Below are 12758 nucleotides of genomic sequence, written 5' to 3'. Positions count from 1 at the left end.
TTTTTTTTCATAGATTCCACTAATATTTTTCTGTGACCCTCAAATGATCCCATGTAGATGAATACCTGGTTATTCCATACTTAGGACTTAGAGCCCTTGTATTTATAAACCAATAGATTTTTCTCCTTAACATTTGGAGTGAGAAAAAGAAAGCCTTGTTAATTTAAATAAATAACTAGCTTGGTTTACAAATAAGGAAGCAATTGGTTTTACTTGATTCTTTCACTGAAATATAATCACAAACATTTATACAGTGATTATTATAAACCATGTACATTACTAGTATTATTTTGTTTAACACTAAGAGCAACTCTATAAGGTAGGTAATATTATTATGCGCATATTATGAGTAAGGGAAACAAAACTATGTAAGTTAATCAATAGGTTTATACAGCTAGGAGTGATGAAGTCAGGTTTTGACATAGGTAATCTGTGAAACTATTGTGCTCAATCAAAGTAATCAAGTCAGTTAAAATAGGAACATGAAATCTTTCTTTGGATTGCAATTGAATATTGGCTTTGAAAACAAGCACTAACCCAGGGGAATCTGACTTTCTTCTAGAGACTGATACAGAATTACAGTTTCTTTATTTTTAATGTATGTATACATGCATTGACTGAACTGTTTGAGGCTCTCAAACACTATTTGTTGGCTGTACACTTAGGTTTCCATTCTCGAGTTCAAATGGAACCATTTAGTCTGTTTTATTTCTAAAGTTTCTTAATACCACAGATATCTTAATTTCTCTAGGAAATACCAAAAAGTGAGGACAGAAAGAATAATAATAATTGTCTGCCTCCAAGGAGTTAACCATCAAGCAGACGAAAGAGAGAAAGATAATTATAACACGTTGGTGCTTTTTAAAGACCTGTGCATTCTCCTCTCTTTGAAATAGGTACCATTTCTGTCAACACGTTGCGTACTCCCTACACTGCTCCTGGTGAGAGTGAGATTCTGGACCTGGATGATGAGTTGTACCTGGGGGGGCTGCCAGAAAATAAAGCTGGCCTTGTCTTCCCCACCGAGGTGTGGACTGCTCTGCTCAACTATGGCTACGTGGGCTGCATCAGGGATTTGTTCATCGATGGCCAAAGCAAAGATATCCGGCAAATGGCTGAAGTTCAAAGTACTGCTGGAGTGAAGCCTTCCTGCTCAAAGGAAACAGCAAAACCGTGCCTTAGCAACCCTTGCAAAAACAATGGCATGTGCAGGGATGGGTGGAACAGATATGTCTGTGATTGTTCCGGAACAGGCTATCTTGGCAGGTCCTGTGAGAGAGGTAGGATTCTAAAACCCCAGCAGCCAACTCCCTGAGATGAAAAGTTTATTAAATGTTGACCTCAAACCTGCACTGACCATTGAAACGTAATGTATACTCTACTGAAGTAAACTCTGTTTGCAAGCTGAGCAGCCATACCTGACATGGATTACTAATGAGCTCTTAATGTTTTTCAAAGAGCTTGATTCTGAAAGGACACAGTTCTTAAGTATATTGCAGGAATAGAAACTTGAATCTTTAGTATCCTCTAGAGTATGAGCCTAAGATGTATTATAGACAGTAACTGCTGTCTTTTTTGCCCAGTTTTTAACTTCAGAACATTAGACAGTAAAAGAGGCATGAATTATACATACCTATGGCTTCTAGTGCTAATACCCATGCTAAGAAATAGCATTTGAGGCAAGCTAAGCTATGAGTTGCAACTTCCCTGACACAACTGGGTGAGACTTAAGTTAGCCTGCTCATTTCACTTCAGTCAACTTACAAAAGAGGCAATATCCTCTCTGAAAAGTAAGCTGACTTTCAATCATCTAAGGTGCACCAACATTTCTGGAAGTGTACCCTAATAGAAAAAGTACTTACCTTTGGCTAGGACCTAACCAACTGCAGAGGATTCATTTACCAATTTGCTGTTAAGACTTAGCTGTGCCTATTGAAGTTCTGAGCAGGTGCTGCCTCTCTTTTTCTAACAGGAGGCAAACCCACATTTTATTTTTCTTTTTTTTCACCCTATACAATAAAAGGAATGAGGATTCAAAGAAAACTGAAGGGCAATAGCCATCCCAGTTGATCTGCAGAACAGGCTAAAGGAATAAATAGCAGAACAAATAGTTCTAAGTTTATTCTTCCATCGACCCAGTGTTTCAGATAAATGCTTTAGTCACTACACCTATTGCCACTTATTTTCAACAATGGAACTAAAAATCAATATGAAAAAATATTGATGAGTTGTTCCATTGTCCTCACCTGCTACAAATAACATTGCTTTATTACATATTTAGCCTAAAATTACCTGGCATCTATTTTTAAGCTATGAATATTTATTGTTTCCCTTTTTTATTCCTGAAATAGTTCAGTTCAGTTTGCCGAAAACCTCCTAGGAAAAAGAGGGGTTGTTTTGTGAAACCCAAAATTGAAACCTGATTTTGGTTATTTATCTTAAAAAGGAGGTACATCAACTTATTAGTTCTGAGATTAATATTAACAATATAAATATTTAATAGTAACATAGAAATCATATATTAAACCACTTACCATATGCTGTTATTATTGTAGGTCATGCAATTAGATGGGTCAGTAGACGGGTATGTTATCACATAGATACAGATATATTCATTCTCTTTATGATAGTACCTAACCGGCATTTCTGTGAATTGTCAATACAACTTAGCTATTTCTATATAGTTTAGTTAGTATGGTGTATATTCTTTATAAGTTTCCTCTTTGCATTTTGCTTCCTAATTTTAGTTTGTTTGTTTAGTTTTGTTTTTGGAAATTGCCAAAAGGATGAACAATGTAACAAAGCTTGCAAGGTATAATACAGTTACGCATAATATGAGATTAGCGGACTTGCACGATTTAAGGTTTTGTTTTAATTTTAATCACCCAGAGAGCTGCCAGTTGTTCTGATGCCTCTTGGTTAAGTGAAGCTGAAAAAAGGGTATAACTCAACTGTCACATGAATTACGGAAGCTTTCTGTTAACTATGCGTGGTGTACCACCCTGTGGCAATATTCCGCTACTACCTATGGCAAAAATGAAAATAGAAATTGTAGATCTTTCAGAGCCAGGATGAGAGAAGAAATATTTATATATTGCAATGATTAGAAAAAGGGGCAGCAAGCATATGTAGATTTGTAAATGAGAATTTAATAGCAAACTTCATCATTGGGATTCAGCATACGTCTTTATCTGATAGGAGGCTGCAGGTTTCTGCAGATTTCTTTGTCTCCAGGTTGGCTGTATGCATTTTTGGGTGGTTCTTGTTACTGGACTACCCATGTGTATTGCGTGAGTCCTTTGCTTTTCAGAAGTAATTTTCTTGCTCACGTTAGGGTGCCTCCTGAAAGCAAAGGAAATGTGTGATGGTTGTCATGCTCAATACCACAAAATTTGGCTTCTGCCCAGTTCGTGGCTATTATGCCCTAGTTCAGTTAACACAAGATTGTGCCTGAACCTCCGAATTTCCAATTTAAAACAGGGGGCTTTGACAGAGTTTCTTCTCCAGACACACATTGGTCACTTAAGGCTGTTGTTGATCAAATAAGAGTTGACAACTCTTGAAGTTTCTTTTTTTAAGAGAACTTTTAAAGTTGTTTTCTTATTAACTTTGAGCAAAAATTGATAATTTATAATTTATGAAAATAATTATTCAAAGTAATTAAAAAACATGTTCAGCTCCTTGGATTTAGAAAGTTCAACATGGAAAAATTATGTTGCAATTGCATTATAGGAGATGTTTATCATGCCTAAGGAAGCAAAGGAGTTTATAAGAAAGAATAAGATACTTGCTAACTTAGGCAGACAAGAAGAGAGTATTTTGTTTTACATGTATTGATCCTATAAGAAGGAGTAGTACAGAAATAATGTTCAATGAATAAAAGTTAAATTTAGCGCCTTCCCTTCTGCTTTATTTTTAATAAAACTGAGAATTTGTGGAGACTTGATCATATAAAAATTATTCTGTTATATGTAAGAATAAGAGCATTGATATAATCAGAGATCTGCTTTATACTGTTTGTTAAATTCTAACAGATGGAGGGACAGATGTCAGAGCAATATAATTTGGCTCCCTGTCTGATTTTCATCGTTGATCACAATATGTGACTGCCTTTCGGCAAAACTGAGCACAGGTGTACACTTTAGACTGCAACAAAGAATAATGTAGAAAAGGAAATTTATCAAACTTAATGACAAGGGAGAAGGAGATATAGAAGACAAAGTTGAAACTGGTTTTCTCCCCCAGTGGGAAGTATTGTATTGGAATTAGCCTTTTAAAGAATTATTGTATATTCTAAATGATGAAATAATTTTACTAGTGTTCAAGGATGCTGCCAAATAGCATAACCTTCAAATGTCAGAATGTTGTTTACCATTTATTTGGCAACTCTAGACTACAACCCTGTGCATTTTCCATTTCTTGTCTAATTAAACATTAACTCTAATTGTGAGGAATCGTTTAGGCTTTCATTTGTCATTTATCAACAAGTTATTTTCACATTGAGAATTATTTAACATGACACTCGGGGGCACTCTAGTTTTATTACTTTACTATGTTATTTCAGTCCTGCAGCTTTCTGGAGAATGTTAAAGGCTAATGATTCTGATTATTTTTTTCTCTGGGTTGTATTTCACACTATATTTATGATCCATTGTCAGTCATCTGTATTTCTTAAAGGAGGTGCCCCCTATTTAGTTTTCAATCAAATCAAGCTACTTTTCCCAGAAGAATATGATTATTTCAAAAATGTGATTATTGAATAATAGAGCCTAGTTATAGAGATTAAATAAAGAAGAGAAAACAAACACTGTTTTGATCCTTTTATCTATATGAAACCAAAGTAACTGAACACATGATAATGACTTTTACACTTTTATTCGGGTGCTTGTTGCTTTACAGATATGGGTCATGATTGTCTAGTTTAGGAAAAACAAAAGTAAAGATCAAATTTCTTTTAAAATTATACCACAAGCATTTTTCTCTCTAGAATTCACTATAACTTTACACTCAGGTTTTCATTATTTTTTGAGCAACAGCAATTTGATTATTTGCACTGGTCTTTGACCACTGGGATTTTACTCCCATTTGGGAAACTTTTTGTCTAATTGGAAAAAAATATGATATTATATAGAACCACTATATTTTTGAAAGACCATATTTTGTTTTATCAGTGCTTAGGGCATTGCCTAACCATGAGGCCCCTGTTTTGATAAATAGACACTTCCCTAGCCTATCTTCTGCAGCCCAATTTTGGCCTTCAAAGTGGACCTTATTACATATTTCGTTCATGCACAGTACTGAAATTAGATTTCACTTGCAATAAGCAGAATAAATACTTAATTTCTTTGGTAAGCTTTTATGTAAGCTTGGTATTCAAATTGAAATTAGCTCACTGTGTGTGTATGTGTGTGTGTGTGTGTGTGTGTGTGTGTGCAATTATTGATTCAATTAATATTTATGGAGGCTCTGCTGTGGGCCTGGCATTGTGGGGGCACTTGCTGCTGATAGAGCAATGCATATGAGAGACTGATCTCTGCCCTCAAGGTACTTGTATTCTAAAGGGCATATACAGATAATACTCTACAAACAAGAAATGGTCATTTCAACAAAGTGAAATGATGAATATATATTGAATAACTGGAGTGGGTAGCAGGTCTCTCTGGAGTAACATTTGAGCAGAGACCTAAATGCTGAAAGAACCAGCTATTTAAAGATCTGGGGTGAAACATTTTTAAACAGAGGGATCTAAAAGTGCAAACACTTCAGTGAGATCATGAAATTGGTGTATCTGGAGCTCACTGAACAAGAAGCGGGACATACTTAAAGCTGAGGCCAGAGAGATGGACTGGGGCCAGGGTCACACTGATCTTTGTAGGTTTAAAAAAGTAGGAACACGGTTGAGGGAGCTACTACAGTGGTGTAGGTGAGAGATGAGAGCAAAGTCTGAGGGACATTAGTGGCAGAGGTGAACAGCAATCAATTCAGAATGTGGATTGGAATTAGAGCCTTTAGGACTTGCAGACTTGCAAATGGATTGGACATGGCAGAGAGAGTAAGAGAAATCAGAAAGCTTTAGGTCTGAGCAATGAGATTATCATGTTTACTGAGATGGAGAAGACTGAAGAAGGAGCATGTTTTGAGTTTGTTCATTTTTGAAGGGAGTAAATCAAGAGTTTAATAATATTCCAATTGAAATATTCCAATTGAAATTTCATATTCCAATTGAAAATTTCCAATAGGCAATGAATGCTACAGCTCAGGAGAGAAGTCAGAACGCTTAATAAATATTAGAGGAGTGAGCATATGAGTTGACTGAGATCTCTTAAGTCAAGAGGTAGATGGAAAAGAGAAGGGAGCTAACCTAAGCAGGGAGACCTGGAACACTCAGTGCTTAGAGAGGTTCTGGTTCTCACTTAATCCCATCATGACAACAAATAGTGATTAAAGTCTTATAGAAACAGTACTTGACTTTCTGAAAAATAAACTTACAAAACCACAACTCTAAATATAGTCCTAATATTGAACACAGTTGTATCAGTACACTTAATTGCTATGCTGTGTAAGTAGGCAAAATAATGAAAATTTCCTGGTTCATTTTAATTCCAGGTAGTTTTTCTTTATTAAGTAGCATCCTGAGTTATCGGAACCAATGAGAAAGCAAACTGATTCACGCTTGTTTTGCAATATTCCACTACCATATGGTGCTTAACATTAAGGAGTCCTGACTATTTCTTAAAGCCGTCAGGTTGTCATCAACAGTTTTTTTTTTATTCATTTCTTTGTGTGTTTAAGACAGTACTAAGCAACTTCCCTACTGATGCCATCTGCCTTAGTTTAGTAACAAACATCCTCACAAGCTCCCCAGTCCCACCCCCATGCTTATTTAGTGTAGCAAAAGCACATCATTACTGCTTTGCATGAGAACTTATTCAGGACACCAGGGCTGTGCTTATAGATAATATTTAAAGTTACTCCCCTTCTATAAATTAATCTTAAAAGGAAGTAACAGTTCCTTAAAAGGAAGCCTTTGTAAAAATTACCTTGCTAAACATAATGGCTCAAAAGAAGTATTATCTGTTGTTTGGTAATATCAGTTTTTCTTTTTTCTTTTTGAACATCACCTTTGGTAAAGTATTGGCCTAGTTCCTATAGTTAAGCTATATTTCTTTTTTTTTTCTTTTAAAAATAATTCTATCAGGGCAGAGATTATGAAAAAAAAATGATGACAGTAACTTCTCCTAGAACTACAGGTTTTCAGAACAGATCAAAGCCCTGAGAAACCTTCTGGCAGTACCCTCTCATTGTGCAGATGAATAATTCAGAGCCAAGGCAAGGTTGACTAATTTCACAGAACTAGTCAGTGGGCTTACCATACATAAACATGCATTGAAAAGTTGCTGGAGGCTGGGCACAGGTTCCTTTTGGGAACCTGGGCGAGAGGGTCACTGGAGTCCAGGAGTTTGAGACCAGCCTTGGCAACAAAGGGAGACCCATCTCTAGAAAAAAGTATTAATAATAAGCTAGCCTGGCATGGTGTCATGCGCCTGTGGTCCCAGCTACTCAGGAGGTTGAGGTGGAAAGATTGCTTGAGCTCAGGAGGTCATGGCTGCAGTGAGCTGAGATCCTGTCACTGCACTCCAGCCTAGGGGATACAGACCTTGTCTCAAACAAACAAACAACAACAAAACCCAAACAAAAACAACAACAAAAAAATCCACAACTTCGCTGGTGTTTCAAACTAGGCTCACACTGTGGCTGTACAAAAGAACGTGATCTTTGCTCTTGAGAAGGGGGGCATATAATCAAACACTCAAAATTCAACATGATTAATGCTATAGGTAGAAAGTGCTCTGGGAACAAAAAAAAAGGAACTGCTGATATCTCTGTTTCTGGGCTTTAGCAAATATCTCACAAGGGAAGTCCTCTACTGTGACTTCTCTTTCCAGCTCACAGTTTTGTTTATTTCTGAAGAAGATGAATTGATTTTGTAGTATTGTGTTCTGGAAGTCTTAAATAAATGATAATAAATGATCCTTTTCCTCTTTAAAGTATTAATGCGCTATACCATCCAAGAACTTATCATATTCATTTTCCATCTCTAGAGGCAACGGTTTTGAGCTATGATGGGAGCATGTTTATGAAAATTCAGCTCCCCGTAGTCATGCATACGGAGGCTGAGGATGTTTCCTTACGGTTCCGATCCCAGCGTGCATATGGCATTCTGATGGCAACCACTTCTAGAGACTCTGCTGACACCCTCCGCCTGGAGCTAGACGCAGGACGTGTGAAACTGACGGTCAATCTAGGTAACAACCTGCCTTCCCCCATTGAACTAACACTTTTTTACTTTTTGTTCAATTTGCCTGCAAACATTGATCAAGTAGCCTGTTTGCCATGGAAAATTAAAACACTTAATGGTCTTATTTCCATCATTTAAAGTAATTTGAGGTTTTCGGGGGCATCTTTTTATTTTTTATTTTATTTTTTATGTTTAACATAACTTACTGTTTTGTGATTTCTACCACTGAGGGTTCTTAAAAGAGAGGCCATGTCTGTCAGTGAGGTTAATTGAAAATATAAATTATTAAGCCTGAGGTTGCCTCAAGCTGAATTTTCTGTTGATATATTCACTGACATTTGGATCGGTTGTAGGTGACATCCTTGCAGATAAATAAAAGCATGTCTTCTTAGAAAGGATTTGCACAAAATATCAAATTTCTGCTTTGTTATCTAGATCAAGAGCTGTTCTTACTCTACTCCATGGGCTTCTCCTTTGAATAATCACCTTTGTGGTACCCTGTCTTTTCTGTTTCGGAGTACTGTGTGGTGGTATTTTGCTATCAAACAGCGATCCACAGCCCTTCAATGCCCAAAGTCTGCGGCCCTTAGCAAACAGCCATGAGAACACTAGAGACACAGGCTCTTCTACAGAAAGATAATGCTTTCCTGCTTAATTGTAGCATTAAGAAAGACCCATTACAGTAAAACCTCACCAATCTAGATGAATTATGGGGAAAAACCAGGCTGAATTAGGAAAAAGTCTGAATTGCAGATTTTAAAATTTGTTTAAGCAGTTTTTATTTTTATAAATTATACTCAAAAACATAATAGTTTGGAAAGTCTTATCACGGAAAGGGCTCTCTAGGCTGATTTTAATGGTTGGATAAAAATTAATTATAATTAGCACATCGTTTCATGCAAACTATGCCATCAACATGAAGTATTGGAAATCAGTTTTCTTCCCACGCTTGGCTTTTCAAAGTCTTGTTTGTTTATGAGTTTAATTTTTTTTCTTAAGAGATCTTTGCTCATATCAAAGGAAGAATAAATACTCTGCCCAAATTTTCAGTGTTATCATTATTTCAAAATAAGAGGAGTCAAAATTAATGAGGTTTTACTGTATTTTTGACAGTGTTAAACACACGTATATAGAAATGAATAAACAGAGAGGGAAAAATGAAATTTGAAACTACATAGATTTACCCCAAAAAAGGAGTAATAAAATGTGATGAGGCAAGGCATTTGTGGAAACCCCACCTACATTTTCAAATTGTGCTGGGCAGAACGATAACTCATAAAATATAAAATTATCCCATTGGTATCTTATTGCATATAATCATATTTAATTAATATTAGTGAAATTAAGTTAAATATTAAGGTTAAAAAAATACTACTTTAAGAACACAGAGCACTCTCCTTTACTGTTCTGTTAGAGTACCCTCTAGTGACGATGACAGGTTATTACAAGCCAATCAAAACAAATCGCCTAATTGCATGCAGTAAAGCTGCTGTTAGTCAAAGTGGAAACACTCATGAGAATTTTCGAACAGCAAAGCATTCTGTAGAAAGAGGTGTGTAGGTGCTGGTCCTTGGCTGTTTGCAACCACTTTTCTGATGCGGTTGACGACACATGACAAACTCAGCTATATGGAAACAGAATCTAGGTTTATTTTTTTATGTTCTCCAAAGGCATTAAATAATAAAACCCAAACCAACAAATACATATAAAATAAATATGAAACATCCTACAGTCTTTTAAAAATAACCACTATAATTACAGTTTGTGTTACCCATACAAGACGTTCTGTTCTTATAGTAGCTACTTTTATATAAAGCAAATATAAGAAAGGGAAAATCAAGAAAGGAAAATCAAGGGAACCACGACACTTATTACACAGAGATAACACTGTTAGCTCCTAAGAGAGGCATAGGCTTGTGTGCCTTGAATAATGACTGCTCCTTAGCCACTGGAGTTTCTAAAGGAAACATACAGTTGTTTCTTTCCTCCTCCAATTAACGCAAGGTATGGAATCCAGCCAACATCTGGCAGTTACCTTTTTATGCCCAAGCAAATAAAATTTAAAAACAAAACAAAAACCCTTAGGGTAAGATAAGAATAATTTTAACTTGCTTTCCATTTGACCACTGCAATTCTGAAGGATTCTGTTGGCCTTTGTGGGATATTAGATTTCGGAGGTCCAAGATGTCTGAGCCTAGCTGAACCTGCACTGTACCCCATTGTGACGGAGCACTTTTACATTTTGCGGAAAACAATGATATGTTCTTTCACAGATGGGGAGAAAGTTGCAGCCAGTCTAAGCCAAACATCTTTGACATTTAACAATTCTTTACTTCACTTAGATTTGTCACCATGTAGCTTTGTTTGAATTGGCCATTTTTAAAACCTTCTATTGTTGTTTCCAATGGTAAACTTTTATAACAAAACATCTGGGCTTTATAAGTATGTAAAGAATAATGATATGGAGTGGCCATATTTGCATGTGTCTGTCCCCGGAAGGGTGGACTGTAATTTTATTGGATGTCTGCAGCTATTACCTTGAAGGATGAATTTTCATTTTTCATCTATTCTTCCCCATCTAGATTGTATCAGGATTAACTGTAATTCCAGTAAGTGCCTATTCAAAATTTTTAAAATGTTATTCCTCCATTATGATGTAAGCTAGTCAAGAAAAAGAGAGAGAGAGAGCAAGAGAAATGTGTTTATAAAACTCATGAGCTCACTTTTAAAGTATACCAGTCCATCATCTGGGTTGTAAAAATTCATTTTTAAATTTGTACAGCTGAAGACTTTCCCACTGCAGTTCCTACCTCTATATGGAAAAAGAGGTGACAAGTGTTTTGTAACAGAATGTGCCAGCACCTTATAGACATTTAGATACTGCAAGTGGCATTTTTAGACTCCAGTTGTTCTCTTCATAACCAAATAGGAGAAAATATTGTGGGTCTTATTTTCTTTTGTCTTTATCTTTTAACTCAAATACAAAAAAAAATACTTAATTCCTCTTACTTCGAGAGTTACTATTAAACCCATCTAAAGTTTTACATAGACATAGAAAATTACTCGTCTAAAACGTTCTTCCTTGATCATTAAGAATGTTTATATGATGAATTTTTACATCCTAATCATATCTCTGCAAAAATAACCAAAACCCTTCAAATCTGTGACATGCATGCAAACTGATGAGTCTGAAAAGATGCATGGACTGAGTTTTCTTTGAATTTGGATGAAAATCTGAAAGGATATAAGGACTGTGATTTTATTTTGAGTTGTGGCATTATCTTAAGTGTAAACTTATTTATTTCTGTACATAAATGCTCAGGTTTTTTCTTTCCAGGTTTTGCTGATCACATTAAGAAATCTCCAATGATCACAACACAAAGTCATCAGCAATTTAAATAAAATGGTTCTAACAAATTTCTAATCTCTCACTGTCACAGTAAAGAATTTTTTTCTATTCTCAAAACAATGCTGAATGTGAGTTGATGGAGTCTACTCCCCACAGCATTGGCCATGTTTTCAAGTGGCAATAAGGCATCCTCTGAGGAACAAATAGAGGTCTTAAACTTGCGAAAACAAGACTATTTTCCTAATAAAATACGTACTGTTTCAAACACTGTGCCTCTTACAACTCATAATTCTATCCACATATATTTAATATTCTTTTAAAAATAACATTAAAATGAGTTTGTTCAATCAGACCAATAAAAAAGTAACAGAATGATGACTTATTAAAAATTAAGTTAATAAATTATAACCAATATCCCAGGCATTTAAAAAGATCTCGAACAAAATAGTTCCTGAAAATAACCTGTCAAAGCTCTCACGTAAGCGGAATTTTTCAAATATATGTAATCTCCTCTCCAACTCTATCTCCTCCATGCATTCCTAAAAGGATATACATTTTGCACATCTAATACCAGGTCCAGTTTGCTTTCAGCTGGGGGCATAGATGCAGGCAAAGTGGCAACTCACAAAATATTCTTTGCCAAAGCCAGATCTGTGCCTCACTCTGGCTGTAGGTTTTCTTGATCCCTCCTGCATCTTAGAAAATCCTTGTGGGGACCAATATTCCTTTCTAGACCTCTACCTTATGTACTCTTTTTATTTTATTTATATGAAGCATGCAACAAGGCATGAATTTTTGAATTTACAAAATATAACTATGCAAAGTATAGCAATTAATGAAAATTATTCAAATGACATGTGATTCTGTATTCTGTGGCTATATCAATGATTTTTTAAATGTATGTTTATAGTATAATTACCCTTGTTAGACTCGTTTGCCATTTGGCTTATATCATGAGACTCTGGTATTGAGGACAGTCTTATTTTTCCTCTGGATATTCCACAGAATAATACCTTTGAGGACAAAGGTTTTTGCTGTTTAGTGAATTGTTTTCCCTTTTTAATGAGTATGTGATACTTGAATTCAATTAATGATTGTGAGCCTCCAGTG

At 35.6% G+C, this 12758-nt stretch overlaps 1 protein-coding gene across 15 annotated transcripts in view; it reads left to right on the top strand.

Moving 5' to 3' along the window:
• Nucleotides 1-12758, top strand: part of NRXN1 (neurexin 1) — a 1113630-nt gene that overhangs the window by 492600 nt on the left and 608272 nt on the right. For 8 of the 15 annotated variants that reach the window (NM_001330093.2, NM_001330094.2, NM_001330082.2 and 5 more), the window contains 3 exons: nucleotides 897-1280; nucleotides 8103-8306; nucleotides 10882-10908. In NM_001330093.2, coding sequence (NP_001317022.1) covers nucleotides 897-1280; nucleotides 8103-8306; nucleotides 10882-10908 — 615 coding nt within the window. The remainder of the gene's footprint in view (nucleotides 1-896; nucleotides 1281-8102; nucleotides 8307-10881; nucleotides 10909-12758) is intronic. The other 7 variants (NM_001330096.2, NM_001330087.2, NM_001330083.2 and 4 more) reach the window with 1 other exon arrangement.

The sequence above is a fragment of the Homo sapiens genome, chromosome 2 (genome assembly GCF_000001405.40).
Source record: "Homo sapiens chromosome 2, GRCh38.p14 Primary Assembly".
NCBI classification, from domain to species: Eukaryota; Metazoa; Chordata; class Mammalia; order Primates; family Hominidae; genus Homo; species Homo sapiens.
The sequence above is the reverse complement of the archived record's forward strand: the minus strand, read 5'-3'. Positions and strand labels throughout refer to the sequence as shown.